This window comes from Homo sapiens, chromosome 22 (assembly GCF_000001405.40).
Source record: "Homo sapiens chromosome 22, GRCh38.p14 Primary Assembly".
NCBI classification, from domain to species: Eukaryota; Metazoa; Chordata; class Mammalia; order Primates; family Hominidae; genus Homo; species Homo sapiens.
The window spans coordinates 38259059-38282344 of NC_000022.11; the positions used below are offsets into that span (position 1 = coordinate 38259059).

General features: G+C 51.3%; 1 protein-coding gene across 13 annotated transcripts in view, besides 6 other annotated features; it reads right to left on the reverse strand.

Annotated features, from left to right (window-relative positions):
• TMEM184B (transmembrane protein 184B) overlaps positions 1-13952 on the reverse strand; it is a 56616-nt gene extending 42664 nt beyond the window's left edge. For 6 of the 13 annotated variants that reach the window (XM_047441319.1, XM_017028759.2, NM_012264.5 and 3 more), the window contains exon 1: positions 13826-13952. Coding sequence is in view for 4 of the 13 variants with exons in the window: in XM_047441316.1 (XP_047297272.1) it covers positions 13470-13510 (41 nt within the window). In the remaining 9 variants the exon portion in view is untranslated. Of the gene's footprint in view, positions 1-13440 lie in introns of all 13 variants that reach the window. The other 7 variants (XM_047441320.1, NM_001195071.1, XM_011530114.2 and 4 more) reach the window with 4 other exon arrangements.
• Positions 1132-1481: an enhancer, noted in NCBI's record as "active region_19000". NCBI's record gives its function as "activates an Ori minimal core promoter by ATAC-STARR-seq in GM12878 lymphoblastoid cells {active_cell/tissue: GM12878}" and the evidence as "EXISTENCE:reporter gene assay evidence [ECO:0000049][PMID:35858748]".
• Positions 1712-1881: an enhancer, noted in NCBI's record as "active region_19001". NCBI's record gives its function as "activates an Ori minimal core promoter by ATAC-STARR-seq in GM12878 lymphoblastoid cells {active_cell/tissue: GM12878}" and the evidence as "EXISTENCE:reporter gene assay evidence [ECO:0000049][PMID:35858748]".
• Positions 3266-3355: an enhancer, noted in NCBI's record as "active region_19002". NCBI's record gives its function as "activates an Ori minimal core promoter by ATAC-STARR-seq in GM12878 lymphoblastoid cells {active_cell/tissue: GM12878}" and the evidence as "EXISTENCE:reporter gene assay evidence [ECO:0000049][PMID:35858748]".
• Positions 4828-5328: an enhancer, noted in NCBI's record as "H3K4me1 hESC enhancer chr22:38659892-38660392 (GRCh37/hg19 assembly coordinates)". NCBI's record gives its function as "activates a minimal SCP1, AML or CMV promoter by ChIP-STARR-seq in primed H9 embryonic stem cells {active_cell/tissue: H9 hESC(primed)}" and the evidence as "EXISTENCE:reporter gene assay evidence [ECO:0000049][PMID:30033119]".
• Positions 12703-13412: an enhancer, noted in NCBI's record as "NANOG-H3K27ac hESC enhancer chr22:38667767-38668476 (GRCh37/hg19 assembly coordinates)". NCBI's record gives its function as "activates a minimal SCP1, AML or CMV promoter by ChIP-STARR-seq in primed H9 embryonic stem cells {active_cell/tissue: H9 hESC(primed)}" and the evidence as "EXISTENCE:reporter gene assay evidence [ECO:0000049][PMID:30033119]".
• Positions 13475-14104: a silencer, noted in NCBI's record as "silent region_13714". NCBI's record gives its function as "represses an Ori minimal core promoter by ATAC-STARR-seq in GM12878 lymphoblastoid cells {active_cell/tissue: GM12878}" and the evidence as "EXISTENCE:reporter gene assay evidence [ECO:0000049][PMID:35858748]".

The window sequence follows — 23286 nt, forward strand, 5'->3', positions numbered from 1 at the left end:
CTTCCAGGAAAGACGTCTTCCGGCTGGCCCCCCATCAGAGACATCCTTTCTCAGATAAGCTACGCAGCTATGTCGTCACTGAACTTGGCCACCTGCCTTGGAGTTTATTTCGGGAGCATCCCACCATCTCACCCAGATTCTATCGTCAGAGTCATTTTAACTCATGTTTGAGGGACACCTTACTGCTGCTATCCCCTCTGCCCATGGATTTTATTATGTGCTGTGTGGTAGGCTGAAGAATAATCCCCCAAAGATGTTGACATCCTAACCCCCAGAGCCTGTGAACATGCTACCTTACATGGCAAAAGGGACTTTGCAGAAGTGACTGAATTAAGGGTCCTGAAATGAGAGATTATCCTGGATAACCTGGGTGGGCCCATGTCATCACAAGGGTCCTCGTAGGAGGAAGGCAGGAGGTAGAGAGCGAGAAGAGGGCAGCGTGACAAAGGAAGCAGAGAGAGGAAAGTGGAAGCTGCTACGCTGCTGCCCTTGCAGATGGCGAAAGGCGCCACAAGCCACAGATGGAGGTGGTCTCTAGGAGCTGGAAGAGGCAGGGAAATAATTCTCCCCCAGAGCCTCCAGAAGGAGTATGGCCCTGCCAACACCTCGATTTTAGTCCAGTGAAACACATTCTGGACCTGACCTCCAAAACTGTGAGATAATTAATGTGTGCGCATGCATTTTATTGGTTTTTCTTATTGTAAGTAATCTATAATTTGTGTTTGTTTTGTTTTTGAGAAGGAGTCTCACTCTGTGGCCCAGGCTGGAGTGCAGTGGTGCGATCTCGGCTCACTGCAACCTCTGCCTCCTGGGTTCAAGCAATTCTCCCACCTCAGCCTCCAGAGTAGCTGGGGTTACAGGCACGTGCCACCACGCCTGGCTTTTTTTTTTTTTTTTTTTTGTGAGACGGAGTCTCACTCTGTCACCCAGGCTGGAGTGCAGTGGCGTGATCTTGGCTCACTGCAACCTCCGCCTCCCAGTAACTGGGACTACAGGCGCGTGCCACCACGTCCTGCTAATTTTGTATTCTTAGTAGAGACAGGCTTTCACCATATTGGTCAGGCTGGTCTTGAACTCCTGACCTTGTGTTCCGCCCACCTTGTCCTCCCAAAGTTCTGGGATTACAGGCGTGATCCACCACACCCGGCCAAATGCCTGGCTAATTTTTTATATTTTTGTTAGAGACAGGGTTTCATCATGTTGGCCAGGCTGGTCTCGAACTCCTGACCTCAAGTGATCCACTCACCTCAGCCTCCCAAAGTGCTGGGATTACAGATGTGAGCCACCGCACCCGACCTAATTTGTGTTTTAAGTCACTAAGTTTCTGGTAATTTGTTGCAGCAGCAAGCAGCTTGCAGATGCAAAACAGAGGTTTGAAGGGCTGACGTCATTTGCCCACAATCACCTGACAAATGGTTCTTCCGACTGCCACTGCCGTGCTGTGAAATCCGCAGAACTCTGGAGCCTGACCACCTAGACCTGACCTCCAGCTTTGCCACTGGCTAGCTTTGTGTCTGTGAGCAAGTTACACAACCTCTCCTTGCCTTAGCTTCCTCATCTATAAAATGGGGAAGCAGCCATACCTGCCTCTGAGAGAGAGGGACGGAATAATGAGTGAACACAGAAAGCACTGAGAAGGTCTGGCACCATGTGATGTCAGCTGCCATTGCTCTCCCACTTCCTCCTTCGGCCAGCCTGGGATTTCATGCTCCCAACAGTCTCTGGGACCCAGGTTCTGTTGCTGGGTATTTGCTCTCTTTAAATCTTCTGAGGTCATATTTTCATTCATTAGTTTCAGATCCAAACCCTTTAGAGCTGCAGCCACGAAGTGCTCACTCAGGCGGCTGCCACCCACAGGCCAAGCTAAACTGGCAACCCGTTCACATATATATCCCTGGAATATTCATGCAGCCTGGGAGGGCTTTTGTTCTCTTATTTAATATAGATGGAGAACCTTCCATCTTACCATAACTCGCTGGTTGGGGTCAGACTCGAGCACTGTTCATCTGAACTGACCGCTCTGCTCCCACTCCAGCCGCCTGGGAATGACAACGGGAATGACAGCCGGCCCTCCTGCCTTTGGGGGTTGCCTGGGCTCTCTGAGCTTCTGGGCAGCTGCATTATTGGGGGAGGCTGATCCACATCAGAGCAGGTCAGCAACCCACAGCCTGGCCCTTCTCCAGAGGGGATTAGAGGGAAAGAGCGGCCCCTGGCCAGGCACTTCTGCCTGGTGAGCCTTTTGAAAAGGATCACATGCCCTCACAAGGGGTCAGGGGTCCACAGCTCTCCTTCCGTCTCCCCTTCAATCAACACAAACAAGCGGAGGCCACTCTAGCGGCTCCACATTTCTCCCCCTTCTCCTGGGCCAAGTTCCCAGGAATCTCTCAACCAGGAAAGCAAAATCATCCAATCATGTACATATCTGTCACTTGGGTGGGGGTGCAGAAATAAAGGGGAACAACAAAGAAATCCAAAGTCCCTCAGCGAGGGCTTACTCAATTCAGCCTTGTAATTAGGTTCTTTCCTTTAGTACATACCAGTCCTAATTTTGATGATCTCAGTTTTCTCTCAAATTGAGAACAATGGACCAACGCTCAGCCTCTTTAGCTGGATTGTTGAGCCCCTCTACATGTGACCACCTTTCCAGCCAGCTAAAATCCCACTGGGCACTGAGCGGATAGGTCCCCTGCAGATTCAGCATCCTGCACCCCAACAATGCTACCACCCCATGGGAGCAGGCTGTCTAAACCAGGATCCCTGTACCTGCTCTGTCCCTGTAATCAAGAAGCCTGGCTCCAGCCAGGACACCCTAGATTTCTCATACCAACCTGAATTTCATTCATGCAAACACATTCTGAGTCAGGTAAGCCATCAACCCACCCTGGGTGTATACCCAGCAAAGAGCGCACACGCGCCCCCAAAGACAAGAATGAATTCACCGAAGAGGCTGGACATAACCCAATGCCTGTCCACAGGAGAATGAATAAATAGTGGTATATTTGGTGAACTCCTACGCAGCAGAGAAAAAAACCAAAGGGCCACTACAGGCAACCTGGATGATCTGACAGTGCTGCGGGAAGGCAGCCAGACACCGAGGAGTCCGTTCTGTACACTCTGTGTGTGGGAGGCCCAAACAGGCAGCGGCAGGCACCACGCGAAAGTGCCAAGGTGTGAGTGGTGACTACCGGCGAAGAGCGAGTGGCCAGGAGGGGGCCCCAGGGAGCTTCCTTGGGTGCAGGAACCATTGTGTGGCTTGATCTGGGCAGTTTACACAGAAGCCAGGGAGGTCAGAAGGCAGTGCAGAAGTGGAAACTAAGCTGGCCCTTGAAAGTCAGACAGGACCTGGGCACGTGGAGACTGCTCTGGACGGAAAGGCAGGCAAAGGGAACTATATGAGCAAAGGCACGGAGGTGGGGAGTTAAGAGGGCAGACAGAGGAAGGGGTGACAGGCCAAGTGCGGCTCAAGAAGAGGCCCAGTAAAGAGGGCCTGGGATGCCCAGTGCTGAGTTAAAGTGTATCTTTCTGTCAGTGGGGAAGCCCCCAAAGGTTTCAGAAATCATGACGTGAGCCAATCGGAGCAAGGGTTGAAAATGACAAAGTCAGCCAACAGCAGTGTGTCCAAGGGGCCCAGAGAGGGCTCCATCTCTCCAAGGCCGGGACCGGGGGTCGTATTTACCAAGCAACACCCAAGCCCTCACACTCGGCCCCTTTGTGAGAACCAAGCACATATTTTTTGATTAGTGGTCTGGGGCCTGAGTGAGGCTCCTGTACTTGAGAAGTAGCCAGAACCTTGACCTTCCTACACTGGGCAGGAGGCAAGGTTACAGTCCTTATGTTTTTAATTTATTTTATTTTATTATTTGAGACAGAGTCTCGCTCTGTAGCTCAGGCTGGAGTACAATGGCATGATCTTGGCTCACTGTAAACTCAGCCTCTAGGGTTCACATGATTCTCCTGCCTCAGCCTCTAGAGCAGCTGGGATTACAGGCATGTACCACCATGTCTGGCTAATTTGTGTATTTTTAGTGGAGATGGGGTTTCATCATGTTGGCCAGGCTGGTCTCGAACCCCTCACCTCAAGTGATCCTCCAACATCAGCCTCCCAAACTGCTGGGATTACAGGCGTGAGCCACCGCACCTGGCCCATTTTAATTTCTTGGAAAGGCGTACATTCACCTGCTTCAGCAATCAAAAGGTACATGGGATCTCCAGCAAACAAGCAATCTCCCATGACCAGCACCCCCTCCAGAGGCATCACAATCACCGACTTGCGGTGTCTGCCCAGAGACCCCCTGGGCATAGACAAGCAAAGACACTTTTGATTCTCTTCCCTTTTACACTGATGGCAGCTCCGAGACACACCGCCCAGACCTGCTTCTTCCCTCGGCAATCCACCTTGCTGCTCAATCCGGCACAGTGCGTTGAGCGTCCATCTTATGTATTATGGCCACGCGGTATCCCATGTTTAGACGGGCCATGGTTTGTTCATTGGCCCCTGCGAATGAACATTTAAGCTGCCTCCAATCTTTTGCTATTAAAAATAAGGCAACAATGACGAACCTTGCAAATAAATCATTTTGCACACGTGTTAACCCATCCGTAGAATAAATTCTGGGAGGCAGAGCTGCCGGTGAAAGTATAGAAACATCTGTAATTTTGGAAAATATTGCCAGAGAGGCACAGTACATTTAAATTGTTCATCCAAGAAATGAGCCTCAATGTTGGGGGAAATATAGAAAATATGTAGGTTTCTGTTTGTTTTTTGAGATGCAGTCTCGCTCTGTCTCCCAGGCTGAAGTGCGGTGATGCAATCTCAGCTCACTGCAATCTTTGCCTCCCAAGTTCAAGCGATTCTTCTGCCTCAGCCTCCCGAGTAGCTGGGATTACAGGTGCGTGTCACCACGCTGGGCTAATTTTTGTATTTTTAGTAGAGATGAGGTTTCACCATGTTGGCCAGGCTGGTCTCGACCTCCTGACCTCAAGTTACCTGCCCACCTCGGCCTCCCAAAGTGCTGGGATTACAGGCGTGAGCCACCGCGACCAGCCAATACATAGTTTAAAGTTGTCCAAGTGAAGAAACGGTAGAGAAAGGCTGTTTTCAACAAATGGAGCTCTGGGTAGGGACACGGTGCTGAACCCACACCGGCCCCAACTCACTTGGTGCTCTGGTCCACACGCTTGCATTTCCCAGCTGTCAGTAAAAGGCTAGGCCCACTTGGCCCCTTGACCCTTCTCAGGGCTCTGATGTCCTGGTCCCAGGAAGTGTGAACGGTGACCTGAGCCACTATGACAAGCAGCCATAATTGGTCTCCCCAGGCGCCCATGAAGATGAGCAGGCAGGCCAGGTGGGAGGGGGTGGGGGTGCAGAGCCCAAGAGGGCCAAGTGCTTCCAGTCTAGCCATTCCAGATGAGTGGTGAGCACCTCTTGCCACATACCCTGCACAAGCTGCAGGGGACACCACAGCCATGCAAGACCACTCCCACTCCATGACATTCACTCAGCTGGCTCTGCTCCTGGGTCCATCACAGATCTGTTATGTAACTCCTGTGCCCAACAGCCATCACCACCTAAGCATCAAGCCAGGGAGTTGAGGAGATGGAGGCGGGTCTCTGGAAGGCACACCGAGTATCAAGTCAGGACAGCCAACTCTATGTAGAAGCAGGGCAGGCCTTTCTCCCACTTCCACAAATCTGGCCCAACTACTGCAAACTGGGAAAAGAAGGAAAAGTCTTCTGCCCCCGGCCGAGTAGGAGATACCTCTTAGCAAACCAAAGGAAGCATTTGAGAGAAAGAACCCTTGTCAACCTCATCTCCCAGCCCAAGCCGTGCTCCCACTGACTGAGACGGCCAGGCACTCCAGTAAATCAAATCATACTTACATGCTCTGAGGTTACTGCTATTAAAATTATCTAACCTATGCATCCTGCATCTACCTTTCTTCTCAAAGCAAATATGTACTGTTTTGGAAAATCTAGATTTTCCCACATCCTATTTAAACTCCATTGACAAATCTGTGTATAGATGCACTTTCTCCTCCTGGAGATGAGGCTAGGACCCCACATGCTCTGGGAAGTGGTCACGAGACCTCTGCTCCTTGAGTAACCTGCCTGTCTCATTCCTCTGTGTGTGCTCAAGGTGGTCCCACTCCCTGCAAAGACCTCCTGCACTTCACCTGCCAACCTCCACTGTCCACTGAGCCTCAGCCCAACTACCCTTGTTCCAGAGAGCACCGGCTCCTCAGCTCACCCCCAGGCAGAGCCGACTGCTGCCTCCTGGAACCCCCATGGTTTTAACCTGAAGCTTTATTCACGTGCTTTCCAGGTCTAAGCAGCAATCCAATACACTGGCCTTCCCAGTGTGGCTGCAAGCTCTCCAAGGGCAGGTCTGTGTTGGGGGTAGCTACTCAGCAGGAAGGGCCCAGGACTCAAAACCAGAAAACCTGGGTGCTTCCTCCCCCAGGATCTTAGGCAATTCACCCCTCTGAGCCTCAGTCTCTCCATCTATAAAATAGGTGCAATAATTTCAAGGTTTCAGGGCAGTTAAAAGGATTACATAAAACCATATATTTGAAATATAACTTGCAAAGCCCCACAAATTCCAATGAGAATATTAATATAACTAGCATGTTAATATTAATTAATATCCTCACACATACCCTTCACCAACATCTATCATTGTGCCTCGCAGGCACCCAAACTGACTGCTGATGGGATCCCAGATTCACTGCTCACTCTGCATGAAACAAAAACCACAGGCGCTAGAGGTGGGGACCAGGAGGCTCTGCCAGTAGCTACAGCGGCGCCATGGGGTTAGTTATTTTCTCTCGGAGCTTTTCGGTAAATGGGGAACAGCCCTGCTGAGTGGAGTGGAGGTTCTCAGCCACTTGCCAGCAGGAGAGGCCCCATTCTGGGTGCAGGCAGTCCACAGGGGTTGGAGCAGGAGATAAATAAAGGTACCAAGCTCCACACACGTCCCTTGGAGTAGGGGGGCTGTCTGATCTGAAAATCCCTTTGAGGGTAACAGAGGCAGTAACTTCCGGAGGTCTCACTGCACCCCCTCTGTTGGGGAGGGGGACCATCTGGGACTGCCCATGACCCGCAGGTAAAGGGTCTGTGGATCCTGGCTTCCCAGAGAGGAGGCTGGAGTCTTCAGGAGATCACCAAGCATTTTAAGTTGGAAAAGAAGCAACAGGCACACGTGCTTCCACGTTTCTCCTTCAGTCTTCATGGTCATGTGACCTGCCCTATCTCCAAACCACAACCTTGGGAGCTAAAGGCGTTCAAATCAAGGACTTCACCAGAGCCTGTGAGGTGGGCAGACAGGGTACGAATAGCGCCCCTTGCCTTAGCAGGAGTGAAGCTCAAAGAGGGCAAGTGGCTTGCCCAAGGTCACAGCTGGGTTTCCTGACTCAATCCAGTGCCCTGTTCACCACTGCTGCAACGGTGCCGTCCAGCTAAAAAAAAGGCTGAAGACCTCATCTTTCCTGCAGAGAATTTGAAACAAAGCGCAAGAGCTGTTTTAGAACTTCTCTGATTCTTTTCTATCTATAGCTACCTTTCAAATGCTATGGGTAAATGTTTATAACCCGGTGTTAAGTAAACAATGAGATAACGTGTGTTCATGCCTAGAAAGAACATCTGCCCAAACCTGAACCATGATTACTTCTTGATTTGGAAATTTGGGGTAATTTTTATTCTTATCCCCAATCTTTCCTGTGCTTCAAGTTTACTATCAACAAGTACGGCCGGGTACGGTGGCTCACGCCTGTAATCCCAGCACTTTGGGAGGCCGAGGCGGGTGGATCAAGAGGTCAGAAGATCGAGACCATCCTGGCTAACACGGTGAAATCCTGCCTCTACTAAAAATACAAAAAATTAGCCGGGCGCCGTGGCAGGTGCCTGTACTCCCAGCTACTCGGGAGGCTGAGGCAGGAGAATGGCTTGAACCCGGGAAGCGGAGCTTGCAGTGAGCCGAAATCGCACCACTGCACTGTCTGCCTGGGCGACAGAGCAAAACTCTGTCTCAAAAAAAAAAAAAAAACAAGTACTACTTCTAATCTCAGAGAAGCCTATTGTTTTTCAAAGGTACAAGACTGAGATCAACGTGGCAAACTTTTCACCAAATATTCACTTAGTGGGATGTGACTTTGTAAAACATGGTTGAGCTGGAAGTGACGCAGGTTCAGCACAAAGGCTTTCTGGGTGGATCTTCCCCTGTGGTTTCCACCCCAGAGAAGGAAAAGGAGGTGTCCACCAAGCTTCCTGTCTCCCATCACAGGCCTAAGACCTCCCACACCAGCCAGCCAGACTCAAGGCTGTTTAGTGAGCACCACCGGCTCCTGGAATAACCAATCCTGTTCCAACCACCCCTAATATCTTTTTTTTTTTTTTTTTGAGATGGAGTTTCGCTGTCACCCAGGCTGGAGTGCAATGGCGTAGTCTCAGCTCACTGCAACCTCCGCCTCCCAGGTTCAGGCAATTCTCCTGCCTCAGCCTCCCAAGTAGCTGGGTTTACAGGCACATGCCACCACACCTGGCTGATTTTTGTATTTTTAGTAGAGACGGGGTTTCACCATGTTGGCCAGGCTGGTCTCCAATTCCTGAGCTCAAGTGATCTGCCCACCTCGGCCTCCCAAAGTACTGGGATTACAGGTGTGAGCCACCGCACCTAGCCATATCCGTCATTTTTCAAGAATAATTATAGCTTTATCCTGAGTGGCAGTGCCACAAACCCATCCAACCATTCATTTGTTTATTCAAAAACCACTTCACTACCTACTGTGTACATTTCGCCAGACACTGAGCCATGATTAACCTAAGACTAGAAAAGTCACCAACCAGAAGCCACGCACCATCCTTCTATGCCATACCCAAGCATAGGGCTTCAGCCACCCTAAAACAGCAGCAAATAGACACGTGAACAAATGCTACCTGGGTGTCCGCCTAATTCCAGCTGTCAGCCACCTCTGCATTTAGATTTATCCTCTCCAGTGCTGAGGACAAGCAATTTGGGAATGAGTGCCCGGTAAGAATGCTGGCGGAGGCCGGGCAGAGTGGCTCACACCTGTAATCCCAACACTTTGGGAGGCCAAGGCGGGCAGATCACAAGGTCAGGAGTTCGAGACCAGCTTGGCTAACATGGTGAAACCCCATCTCTACTAAAAATACAAAAATTAGCCAGGCATGATGGTGGGTGCCTGTAATCCCCGCTACTTGGGAGGCTGAGGCACGAGAATCACCCAGGAGGCGGAGGTTGCAGTGAGCCGAGATCCTGCCACTGCACTCCAGCCTGGGCAACAGAGGGAGACCCTGTCTCAAAAAAAAAAAAAAAAGAAAGAATTCTGGCAGACTCAGACGCACTGTTAGTACCTGCACCACATTAGTACCTGCTTTTCCACAGAGACGGAGGCCAAGGGGAGGGAATGATGAGAAAATCTACAACTTGGGTGACCCTTCAATTCTTCTCTCTGTGGCCGCCTCCCACTCTACCTCTTCCCGTTTCTGTCCTCTCTGAGGCTGAGGAGATGGCATTCAGCAAACATTTATTTCAGGTCTACTAAGTGCTGAGACTTAGTATCAAACAACTCCATAGACATGAACTCAGACCTCTGCTTTGCATGTGCTCTTCCTTCTACCTGGAGCCCACTTCTTCCTCCACCTTAATACACATCACCTCACTAGACAAGTGCCCGCCCAGGCGACAATGGCCTAAGGTTCCCTAAGAGCCCCCAGGACAATCATAATTGCTTGTGTGTCTGATTTCTCTCTCCCCAGCTGCACTCGGCTCCTGAGGGCGGCTCCCCGCAAACAGCCTGGCACACAGGCCTGCGATGCCTCCTTCTCAAATAAATGAATGGGCCTGTAAGGTCATAATAAAAGCATGTCCTGTGTGCCAGGTACCGTGCTGAGCTCCATCAGACATTGGTCAGGCCAGCCACGTGACAGCCACACTGTTATTACTCCCATCTTACAGATGAAGGAAAGTGAATCATTTGCCCCCTATTTTTAAACAGCAGGAATTAGAACCTGGTAAGCATCTTGCCCAAGGCCACAGGGCTAATAAGCGCACAGATTTAAATTGCATCTCCCAATTCTCTCTCTGGGTCACCAGAACTGCTCAGCGCATTACCTCCCTCTCTCCCTCCTCCTCCCGTGCTCCTAGTGACCATTTCTTTTTAAGACGGAGTCTTGTTCTATCACCCACCAGACTGGAGTGTAGTGGCACTATCTCAGCTCACTGTAACCTCCGCCTCCCGGATTAAAGCAATTCTCCTGCCTTAGCCTCCCAAGTAGCTGGGATTATAGGTGTGTGCCACCATGCCTGGCAAATTTTTTTTAGTAGAGACTGGGTTTCACTGTGTTGGCCAGGCTGGTCTCAAATTCCTGACCTCAGGCGACCTGCCCACCTCAGCCTCCCAAAGCTTGGATTACAGGCATGAGCCACCACGCCCAGCCTAAGACTCTGTCTTAAAAGAAAAAAAAGTTCCAGCTGACCAGGCATGGTGGTTCACACCTATAATCTCAGCGCTTTAGAAGGCCAAGGTGGAAGGATCTCCTGGGCCCAGGAGGTAGAAGCTGCAGCAAGCTACGATAGCACCACTGCATGCCAAGCTGGGCAACAGAGCGAGACTCCATCTCAAAAAACAAAAAAAGTTCCAGCTCAGAGAAGCCAGTTCCCAGCAGGCAAGGGGTCAGCAGTGGGGCAGACACCGTTACAACAGTGGGCTCCAGAACCTGCCCTGAGTCACACAGGGTCTTCAAGACCAAAAGCTGCTAGAAGACAACAAGAGAAAGGCGGCGGGGTCTAAAAGCGATGCCAGGGGCTGTAGGAAAGCCAACGGAACAAAGGCCTGGTCTTCCAGAAGTTCTCTGCAGGAATGAAGGAGGGATGAGAAGGGATGGTAATACTGCCCCATAACACATGGCTGAGCATGTCACATCCTTCCAGAAACTTTCAAGGCCTCCCTGTTGACATCAGGATCAAGTTCAAACTCCTTGGCGGGGCCTCCAAAGGTCTTCAGGACACAGACCCAACACAGTCACAGGCAGTTCAAGCCTCTGCGTCTGAGAGGTGAGGCAGCTCAGACCTCCACATCTGCCCGGAGTTCCCTCTACCTGGAACGCCCTCCTTCTCCTTCATAGGTGGAGCACCCCTCGTCCTTCAGGGCCAAGACGACTTCCAGCACCCCAGGGTTATGGGGGAGGAGCATGGGCTCTGAGGTCAGACCTACTGGTTCAAAACTCAGCTGTTCCACTCTCTGCTGCCTCCCCTACAAAATGCAGACAGTGACAGCCCCCACCACACTGGGTGGTAGGAAAATTAAATACAGTAATTCATGAAAGCGCTTTGAACTGTGCCTGGCACACAGTAAGTGCTCAATAAACGGACTGTTGTTCCTATTGTCCTCTGGGCCCCTTTAGGGCCCTCTGTTTCCACCACAAGTAGGGCACTGTCTTGCACATATTTGTTACACATTGGGCTCCCTCTGCCAACCACCTTTTAGAGGGCTGCCCCAGCACAGTGCAGGGCAGCATGGTCTTCGGTGAGTGCTTACTACCCGGGGCTGCAGGGCCTGGTGCAGACCCCACACAGAGCTCTCCCAGGGGCCCAGCTATTGGCCTTCCAGAACTCCCACACCAGATCCCCAGTCTAAAGGCCCAGAGCTGTGACTCGTTTTCAAAACAATAAAAAGCTGTACCCTGCCTTGCCGGGGCTGTTTCCACTCCAGGGAATTTACAGAGAGAAAATGAGCACAGCAGGGACTGGAAATAGCTCTGAGCCCTTCTCAGGGTGAGGGACTGGGCAGGCCAGCCAGAGACCAGGAGCAAAACCTCTAAGACAGAGAGGGAGCAAACAGCCTCCGGACAGAAGCCCCTGCTCACAGAACTCGGCCAATAGGAAAGAACTAGGACAAGTGGCTCATTCACCCTTCTGCCTCGAAGCTCTTCTTTCTACTTGGTTGGAGAAATTCAGAAGGGGCTCTTTGAATAACCCACCACCACCGTGGGTGCAACAAATAAGACATCCAGAATCCCAACGACTGCACAAATGCTTTGGGGGAATTCACAGCGCCTTCTCCACCCACATTAGCTATTGGAGCCTCGTATCCAGATTGGGGTCACTAAATCAGTGTCCATCTTCCCAGCACTGGGAGCCCCTAGAAGGCAGGCACCAGGTCCCATTGATCATCAGACCGCTATGCCCCAGCATAGTGCCTGGCACATAGTAGATGCTCAGTAAGTTGCAAGACAAGATCTGGCAGCAAGAGAGAGGTCCTGGTTAAAGGATGATTCCATCCAGGCTTGCCACGTATCGTGGAGAAGAACGTCATGAATTCCCTCTGGGCCTCAGTTTACCGCATCTGCAAATAGGGACAACTGTTCCTTACTCACACAGCTGCTGTGCAAATTACACAGGAAAATATATGTGGAAAGCAGAAAAGCCTCAGATGAACGTCAGTCATCCTTCAGGCTTCAGCTCAACCGTCTCCTTATGAGGGAGTCTTTCCTGCGGCCACGATCCCCCTCCCCGGGAACTGAACCTGCCTCTGTACTCCTTCTACTCCTTTGTTTGGTATTTTTCACATCATCGTGATCACCTGTTTCCAAATCTGATTCCCCCATGCTTGAGAGCTCCTTGATGGCTTGGGCATCAAATGTTTCTGTCCAGGTGGGCACACATACCTGGCTGCTGGGGCTCTCCCACCCCAGCGTCCCAGGTCCCAACTCTGATACGCACAGCACCCTAGGCAAGGTTCAGAGGTGCAGAGCCTAGGGGTTCTACCAAGGAAGCTAAATAGGTAGATGGAAAGGGACACTGTAGGCATAACCTGTCAACGAAGTCACACCTCTGAGACCTGCGCTGCCTCTGCAGGTGCAGGTGAGCTTGTTTGCCTGGCTGACTCTGCAGCGCAGGGCCTCCAGGGCACAGATTGCTGCTTCTTTCCTTACAAAAGCACCAGCAGTCAGATAAATAATACATGGCCTTCACCTCACCACAGGTATCAGGCATGCAAATACCTGCTTTGCCCCAAAATGCCCTGGAAAGGAGGGAGGAGTAAAACGTCTGGCCTTATACAACACCTCCAGAGGGGATATGTATTGGGAATCCATGCCCAACCCCCAGCATAACTGCCTTGCCTTGGCCTGGAGCCACCCAGCACTGGAGGTAAGTGGATCCAAGCGAGGTACCAAGGGTGTGCCCAGGAGGAAATGTACAATTCACGGGAAGGATACAGACACCCAAAACCAGTCTCCACGGTCCCTTTGGGGGCAAACATCTTTCGAGCCCCAGGTCCCAGTCGATCCCCTTCCAAACCTGCGGACCTGTGTGGCGGGCGTGTACACCCTCCACTCACGACGCAGCCCCGAAAGCCCCCCGCCGACCACCCTCCCAGGTCACTGCCACCCGCACAGGGCACGGACGCCTCCCCCACTCACTCGGCCGTGCCAGTCGCCAGCACACCCACCCGGGAGCACACAATCCCTCTTGCAAAGCGCCTTGGTCCATCCGCCTCCCTCTCCCGGGGCCGCCCCCCGGACAGGTCCGATTACACTCCAGGAGCTGCCCCCGCCACGTTGGCGTGGAAAGGGAGCGGGCACACCCACGGGCGACCTCGCGGGGCGGAGAGGAGGCACGGGTGGGGAGACGGATGCCCCCTCCCTCCGCGGCCGCACCGGCCTCCGTAGTGCCCTCCCCGCCCGGGAGCCGGCGGCCGAAGCCGGGCGTCCCTCGCGCGGGCCTCTCCGAAACAAGCAGCCCCCCGCGCTCGGGAGTCGCAGCTCCCCCTTGGGGCTCCCGGGCGAGGCCGGCCAGGCGGGATACCTCAGGAGCCCATGGCGGTGGCGGCGTCTGCGGACGATGCGCGGCAGCCGGACTCTGCGGGCGGGGCGGGCGGCGCCGCAGCCCCGGAGTCTCCGCCGCCGCCGGCGCGTCCCGGGCCCAGTGGAGTGCAGCCGCGGCGCGCATGCGCTCTGGGCTCGCCGCCGGGGAGGGCGGGGCGGCGGACGCGGCTGAGATCACTGCCTGGGCCTTAAAGGGGCCGCGCCCCGAACCCCAGCCCGCCGCCCCGAACCCCAGCCCGCCGCCCCGCGGGTTGGGGCGCGACCCGGGTTCTCTTGCCACTCACAAAACCAGCTACGACCGGCCCCCAACCGCGAGAGCTTTCTGGGCTGCGATCTCTGCCCCTGACCCTCGCTGGTGCTTCACTTCTTTTAACCCTAATTTCCTCCATTTGAGCCTGTTTTGAAGATGAAACGAAATACAATGGCTATTTGTTGAGTGAAGGATGCGTGTGGAATTGTGGAATGAACGTGGACCGAGTGTTGTGTGCAATTAGGCCAGATGAAATGGCAAAGCACTGAAAGAGGCCTTTTTTTCCCACTCCGCTTAGCAGCGATTCTTTCTTGCCCCGTCTGGCTCTAGGCTGCCGAACTAGCAAAAGTCTTCAGATAGGGTTCAAGCCGCCTAGTCCATTTCTGTTTGCCGGTCCAGACATCACCTAGGTTAACTGAACAAGATAAAATGCAATTAAGTTCTGGCATTGATGTGCTCAAGATCCCCAAATGTATTTATGTCTCCAGACTCCTCGCCTGAACTGTCTACCCAACACCTCTTCCTTGGAGCTCCAGCAGGCATCTCAAAGTCAGCGTGTCTGAGCTGAGCCAACCCCACTTCCACACACAAAAACCTGCTCCCTCTCAGCTTTGCCTCCATCAGCTGTTGACAATTCCATCCTTCCAGTCCCCAGGCCAGAACTCGGAGTCAGCTGTGAATGAATGCCCCCCTTCTGCCCGCTACCCAATAAGGCAGGCAGGAGATCCTGTTGGCTCTACCTGCAAAATAGATCTAGACTCAGATGTCTGCCACTCCTCCTCCAGTGCTACCACCCTGGTCCAGTATTTGCACAGGATTATTGCAGAGTTCTGCTAACCCCTCTCCCTTGTTCCAGCCTTGCCCTCTGATCCATTCTATCAATTCAGGGGTGAGGGAGATCCTTTTTTTTTTTTCTCTTTTTTCTTTTTGAGACAAAGTCTCGCTCTTTGTCTCAAAGTTGCCCAGGCTGGAGTGCAGTGGCGCGATCTCGGCTCACTGCAAGCTCCGCCTCCCGGGTTCACGCCATTCTCCTGCCTCAGCCTCCCGAGTAGCTGGGACTACAGGCGCCCGCCACCATGCCCAGCTAATTTTTTGTATTTTTAGTAGAGACGGGGTTTCACCGCGTTAGCCAGGATGGTCTTGATCTCCTGACCTTGTGATCCGCCTGCCTCGGCCTCCCAAAGTGCTGGGATTACAGGCGTGAGCCACCACGCCCAGCCAAGATTCTTTTAAAATCTGCCGGGCACGGTGGCTCACGCCTGTAATCCCAGCACTTTGTGAGGTCGGGTGGCTCATTTAAGGCCAGGAGTTACAGACCAGCCTGGCCAATATGGTGAAACCTTGTCTCTGCTAAAAATACAAAAATTAGCTGGGTGTGGTGGTACATGCCTGTAGTCCCAGCTACTCTGGAGGCATGAGAATTGCTTGAACCCGGGAGGCGGAGGTTGGGTTGTGGTGAGCCAAGATCGTGCCAATGCACACCAACCTGGGTGACAAAATGAGAATCTGTCTCAAAAAATAAAATAAAATCGAAGTCAAAACATGGTACTTTTTTGCTCAAAACCCTCCATTGGCTCACTGTTTCGCTCTAAGTAAAAGCCTTACAAGTCCTTACAAACACTTGATCTGACATTCTACTCTCCTGGGGATTCCTGATCTCATTCATCTCTTACCCTTTCCCTCCACACTGATCCCTTGCTGTTCCTAGAACAAGCTGAGCACACTCAGCCCCGAGCCCCCTGCACTAGCTGTTCCCTCTGCTGCGATCGCTGTTTCCCCAGATACCTGAATGGCTCCTCCATCACCTTCTTCAAGGGTTTGCTCGAATGTCCTCCACTTAGTGAGGCCTGCTGTGAGCACCCCTAGTAAAACTACCAGACCCCTCACATGCACTCTGTATTTCCCTTTACCGTGCCCTACTTTCCCTGTCACTTCATTTCTTTCTTTCTTTCTTTTTTTTTTTGAAGCGGAGTCTCGCTCTGTCACCCAGGCTGGAGTGCAATGGTGCTATCTCGGCTCACTGCAAGCTCCGCCTCCCGGGTTCATGCCATTCTCCTGCCTCAGCCTCAGAGTAGCTGGGACTACAGGCGCCCACCACCATGCCTGGCTAATTTTTTGTATTTTTAGTAGAGACGGGGTTTCACCGCGTTAGCCAGGATGGTCTCGATCTCCTGACTTCGTGATCCGCCTGCCTCAGCCTCCCAAAGTGCTGGGATTACAGGCGTGAGCCACCCTGTCACTTCATTTCTATCATATTATATAGTTTGCCTGTTTCCCTGTGTGTCTTCTTCTAGTAGAACACAAAATTTTTCGGTTTTGTTTTTTTGTTTTTGAGACAGTCTCTGTCACCCAGGCTGGAGTGCAGTGGCACAATCTCAGGTCACTGCAACATCCGCCACTCAGGCTCAAGTGATCCTCCCACCTCAGCCTCCTGGTTAGCTGGGATTATAGGCATGTGCCACCATACCAGGCTAATTTTTGTATTTTTTTTTTTTTTTTTTTTTTTTTGTAGAGATGGGGTTTCGCTATGTTGCCAGGGCTGGCCTCAAACTCCTGGGCTCAAAGCAATTGCCCGTCTAGACCACTCAAAGTGCTGAGATTACGGGTGTGAGCCACTGTGTGCCTGGCCAATAAATTCTGAAGAGAAAGATTTTCATCCTTTTTGGCTTTTTTGTTGTTGTTGTTGTTTGAGATGGAGTCTCACTCTGTCACCCAAGCTGGAATGCAGTGGTGCAATTTTGGCTCACTGCAGCCTCAACCTCCCAGGTTCAAGCGATACTCTTGCCTGTGCCTCCCAAGTATCCTTTTTGTTTTCTGATGTAATCCCAGTACTTAGTACAGGGTCTGGCATAGAGAACATGCCCCCGCAAAAGTAGGTATAACATGACCAGAGATCTGGTAATAGCAAAATCCTATAGAACGATTCCTCCCCAGCCCCAGGTAGGACATGCCTGGGTCTGTCCTAACAAGAGTAAGGCTTATCAATTGCATTGTAACTTGTTTATGACTTCCCAGCTCTCCCTCCCTACACACTAACCCCTTCAGGAGGAAGTCTTTGTCCCAATTACCCACCATATCTGCAATGTGTAGTACAAGACACTTACAGACCAGACACAACCTGACTTACACTTCCCCTCCAGGGCTTTCAGTTCAGGGTCTTGGTTTCTGCTTAGGGGCACTCTTGGGTCTCAACTTACAGAGGCCCCGGGCTGGCAGGGGACAGAGGCAGGTGGTGGGTATTTTTAGGCTTGGTTGCCCGGAAGGGGCTCAAAGACAGAAAGTCACCTGGTCTGAGTGATATGGCAGGTCAGCAGGTGGTATTGGGGGCCCTAGTTGGTGCTCCCTGTGGGAGGAAAAAAGCCCTCTCAAGACCTTTACTCAGGTTTTCCAAAATGAAGATAAACACCTACCTTGCTATCTTCCCTCTCACCCCTCCTCCATGCAACTACCCATCCTTTCTTTCTTGGGTTTTGCTCTCTCACCCAGGCTGGGGTGCAATGGTTTGATCATAGTTCATTGCAGCCTCAAACTCCTGGGCTCAAGCAATCCTCCACCTCTGCCTCCCAAGTAGCTAGGACTACATGGGCATACCATCACGCTCAGCTAATTTTCTATTTATTTATTTATTTATTGACAGAGTCTTGCTCTGTTGCCCAGGCTGGAGTGCAGTGGCGCGATCTCGACTCCCTGCAACCTCCCAGGTTCAAGCGATTCTCCTGCCTCAGCCGCCCGAGTAGATGGGATTATAGGCACGCGCCACTACGACCAGCTAATTTTTTTTTGTATTTTTTTAATGGAGACAGAGTTTCACCATGTTGCCCAGGGTGTTCTCAAACTCCTGAGCTCCGGCAATCCGCCCACCTTGGCCTCCCAAAGTGCTAGGATTACAGGCGTGAGCCACTGCACCTGGCCTAATTTTCAATGTTTAATGGTTTTATAGAGACTGGGTCTTGAACTCCTGGCCTCAAGCAATCTTCCTGCCTCTGCCTTCCAAAGTGTTGGGATTACAGATGTGATCAGCATGCCTGGCCTATTCTTTCTAACAAGGCTCAAAGATTCCACCTAAATGTGTCCGCTTTCCCCTCCACTGCCCTGGTTCAGTCTGACTTAACTTCTGGACAATTATAATGGTTTCCCAGGCCCCCAGCCTCACCTTTCCCCCTGCCCACAGGCTAATGAAGAAAGAATGCTTTTCTCAATGACCAGCTCCACCCCTTTGAACTCAACTCAGCAAACAGCTACTCCTATTCTCCCTTCAAGGACCAAATCAGATATCACCTTTTGGTTCCTTCTTTTTTTTTTTGAGACAGAGTCTCGCTCTGTCGCCCAGGCTGGAGTGCAGTGGCGTGATCTCGGCTTACTGAGAGCTCCACCTCCCGGGTTCATGCCATTCTCCTGCCTCAGCCTCTGGAGTAGCTGAGACTACAGGCGCCGGTCACCGTGCCCGCCTAATTTTTTGTATTTTTAGTAGACACGGGGTTTCACCGTGGTCTCGATCTCTGACCTCGTGATCTGCCCGCCTCAGCCTCCCAAAGTGTTGGGATTACAGGCGTGAGCCACCGCTCCTGGCCTATATTTATTTATTTATTTATTTGAAACGGAGTCTTACTCTGTCGCCAGGCTGGAGTGCAGTGGCACGATCTCTGCTCACTGCAACCTCCACCTCCACCTCCCGGATTCAAGCAATTCTCCTGCCTCAGCCTCCCGAGTAGCTGGGACTACAGGCACGCACCACAACACCCAGCTAATTTTTGTATTTTTAGTAGAGACAGGGTTTCACCATGTTGGTCAGGCTGGTCTCGAATTCCTGACCTCAAGTGATCTACCCGCCTCGGCCTCCCAAAGTGTTGGGATTACAGGCATGAGCCACCACACCCAGCCAAAGCCAATCTTTCTTCTAAGCATTTTTTTACAGCGTTCAGAAAGGCTATCATATAAGTTTATAACTGCCTTTTTCACTCAATATGGAAATGATTAGGAATGTGTCAAGAGACTACATTAATATCTATACAATATGCCATTCGTGGCATGGATCTATATAATTTACTTAACCATTCTTCAATGACTTTCAGGTTATTTCCAATTTTCTGTTAGGGAGAAACTAATTAATACAGAATTTGGAGGATAGAGAGGGAGGTGGGGATCAAGAAGGAACCATGCCAGGCACGGTGGCTCACGCTTGTAATCCCAGCACTTTGGGAGGCTGAGGCGGGCGGATCACGAGGTCAGGAGATCGAGACCGTCCTGGCTAACACGGTGAAACCCCGTCTCTACTAAAAATACAAAAAAAAAAAAAAAAAATAGCCGGGCGTGGTGGCAGGCGCCTGTAGTCCCAGCTACTCGGGAGGCTGAGGCAGGAGAATGGCGTAAACCCGGGAGGCGGAGCTTGCAGTGAGCTGAGATCGCGCCACTGCACTCCAGCCTGGGAGACAGAGCGAGACTCCGTCTCAAAAAATAAATAAATAAATAAAAAGTAAAATAAAATAAAATAACGAACTAAAAAAGGGGAATATATGGGTTCACTTAAGGAGTTCAAAGCAGAGCTGGATTTGAGGCCTCACATAGTGTCATTGGGATGCTATTTCTCTTCGTCTCTTGCTCTGTGTGTGTGTGTGTGTGTGTGTGTGTGTGTGTGTGTGTGTGTGTGTGTGTGTTTTGGCCCCATTCCCATGTGGCCTTCCCCCCCCCCCAGTGGCAGAGAGAGCACCTCTTTGCCAAGAATTCCAAGATATGTCCCACAGTCACCTCTGATTGGCCCAGCCTGAGTCACGGTCCCATCTCTGAGCCAATCATTGTAGCCAGGAAATGCAGGGCATCAATTGGCCAGGCCTGGATCACAGGCCCACCCTGGAGCCAGTGGGTGGAGTCAGCCCCTTCAGAACCAAATGTACTGAAAAGGAGGCATGAGTACCTAAAGAAAAATGGGGTGCCATGACCAGAAAAACTGGGAAAGAGTGCTGGGGAAAAAAACTCAGATGTTCTGCCTCTCTGGGATTTTAAGTGGCTCTCCAAGGGTCATCCAGAAGGATGATCAGGGACAGGGCTGAGATGTGACCTCACCCAGAGCAGAGATGGAGGGACCTAGGACAGAGCCATCAGCTCTTTGGGTGGCTCTTTGGAGGCCATTAGCCTGTGCAGTCGTCAACTGCCTCCACCACTGACAGGCTGTGGGATTCTGGGCAAGTCTTGTAAGCCTCAGTAAGCCCCAATTTCTTTTCTTTTCTTTCTTTTTTTTTTTTTTGAGACAGAGTTTCAGTCTTTTCGCCCAGGCTGGAGTGCAGTGGCACGATCTTAGCTCACTGCAACCTCCGCCTTTTGGTTTCAAGCGATTCTCCTACCTCAGCCTCCCAAGTAGCTGGGATTACAGGCGCCCACCACCACTCCCGGTTAATTTTTGTATTTTTAGTAGAGACGGGTTTCACCATGTTGGCCAGGATGGTCTCGAACTCCTGACCTCGTGATCCGCCCGCCTTGGCCTCCCAAAGTGCTAGGATTACAGGCGTGAGCTACCGCACCCGGCCCTCCAATGTCTTCATCTGTAAAATGGGGGTATGAACAGGACCATCCTGTCAGAGCTGCTGTGGGGATCAAACAAAATAACATAAGTAAGGCTGGTAGCACAGGGCCTAGCACATCCTAAGCACTCAATAAGTGTTTCCTCTAATATCTACAATAATAAGCAGAGTAAGAAGGTCTTTTTTGAAATGGCTGTTTATTTAATTTTTTTTGAGATGGACTCTCACTCTGTTGCCCAGGCTGGAGTGCAATGGCATGATCTCAGGTCACTGCAACCTCTGCCTCCCTTCCTCAACTGATTCTCCTGCCTCAGCCTCATGAGTAGCTGGGATTACAGGTACGAGCCACCACACCAGGCTAATCTTTGTATTTTTAGTAGAGATGGGGTTTCACCATGTTGGCCAGGTTGGTCTCAAACTCCTTACTTCGTGATCTGCCCACCTCGGCCTCTCAAAGTGCTGGGATTACAGCTTTGAGCCACCGCTCCCAGCCGAAATCTGAAATTGCTGTTTACAAGTAAAAATGTAAACAGGCCCAATAGGTCAGTTCTGTTTTTGTTGTTGTTTTTTGTTTTTTTTGAAACGGGGTCTCTCTCTGTCTCTCTCTCTGTCGCCCAGGCTGGAGTTCAGTGGCATGATCATGGCTTACTGAAACCTTGAACTCGTGGGCGCAAACAATCCTCCTGCCTTGGCCTCCTAAGTAGCTGAGACTACAGGTACATACCACCAGGCCCAGCTAATTTTTTTTCTTTTTTTTTTTTTTTGTAGAGACAGGGTCTCGCTATGTTGTCTAGGCTGGTTTCAAACTCCTGGCCTCAAGTGAACCTCCTGCTTTGGCCTCTCAAAGTGCTAAGATTAGAGGCATGAGCCACTGTGTCTGGCCAGTAGGCCAGTTTTTAAGCAAATCTGCCCCTCACACTGTCACCAATGATTGTATTTCCAGCAGCCACGTTGTGTCTAGTATCACAGCCTTGATGCTGCTGTTCCCATCACCTAAAACACACCCTTTCTCACTGCTGTCTCCATCCCTTTCCTTCTCCTAGTTAATTCCTACCCTTCCTTCAGGTCCCTGATAAAACTTTCATTGTCCCTGTCATCAAGTGGGAAAAAAAATACATCATGCAGGGTAATGCATACTGGATGCCTCATTAATGCAATTTTTCTTTTAAGACGGAGTCTCGGCGGGGCGTGGTGGCTCACACCTGTAATCCCAGGACTTTGGGAGGCCGAGGCAGGCAGATCACAAGGTCAAGAGATCAAGACCATCCTGACCAACATGGTAAAACTCGTCTCTACTAAAAATACAAAAATTAGCTGGGCATGGTGGCAGGCACCTGTAATCCCAGCTACCCGGGAGGCTGAGGCAGGAGAATTTCTTGAACCTGGGAGGCGGAGGTTGCAGTGAACCGAGATCGCGCCATTGCACTCCAGCCTGGACAACAGAGTGAGACTCCATCTTTTTTTTTTTTTTTTTTGAGACAGAGTCTCACTCTGTTGTCCAGGCTGGAGTGCAATGGCACGATCTCGGTTCACTGCAACCTCCGCCTCCCAGGTTCAAGAAATTCTCCCGCCTCTGCCTCCTGGGTAGCTGGGACTACAGGTGTGCACCACCACGCCTGGCTAAGTTTTTTTTTTTTTTTTTTTTTGAGATGAAGTCTCGCTCTGTCGCCCAGGCTGGAGTGCAGTGGTGGGATCTCAGCTCACTGCAACCTCCGCCTCCCGGGTTCAAGCAATTTTCCTGCCTCAGCCTCCTGAGTAGATGGGATTACAGGCATGTGCCACCACGCCCAGCTAAGTTTTGTATTTTTAGTAGAGACAGGGTTTCTCCGTATTGGTCAGGCTGGTCTCGAACTCCTGACCTTGTGATCTGCCCAACTCAACCTCCCAAAGTGCTGGGATTACAGGCGTGAGCCACTGCACTCAGCCGGCTAATTTTTTTTTTTAGTAAAGACAGGTTTCACCATGTTGGCCAAGCTAGTCTCGAACTCCTGACTTCAAGTGATCTGCCTGCCCCAGCCTCCCAAAGTGCTGGGATTACAGGCATGAGCCACCGTGCCCAGCCCTTAATGCAAATATTTGTGTGTGATTTTATTTATTTATCTATTTATTTTTATTTTTATTTTTATTTTTTTGAGACGGAGTCTTGTTCCGTTGCCCAGGCTGGAGTGCAGTGGCACGATCTCAGCTCACCGCAACCTCTGCCTCCTGGGTTCAAGCTATTCTCCTGCCTCAGCTTCCCGAGTAGCTGGGACTACACACGCCTGCCACCACGCCTGGCTAATTTTTGTATTTCTAGTAGAGACAGGGTTTCACTATATTGGTCAGACTGGTCTTGAACTCCTGATCCACCAGCCTTGGCCTCCCAAAGTGCTGGGATTACAGGTGTGAGCCACCGGGCCTGGCCTTGTGTGTGATTTTCAAAGTACAGGAAATTTCTGGAAGTCAGGAGAATGGGTGCTGACACAAACAGAGGGCAAAAGGGACTGGATCTTAATCATCTTTTTGTTCCCAGAACCTGACACGCAGGGGCAGGCATGACTGTCCTTCATCATCTTCATCACCGCTGCTGTTCATTAAGCATTCATTACGTGGCAGGCAATGTCAACCAAGATCTTGTGAGTGCCACCTGGCAGATGAGGAAACTGAGGCACAGAGAGGCAATGTTACTTGACCAAG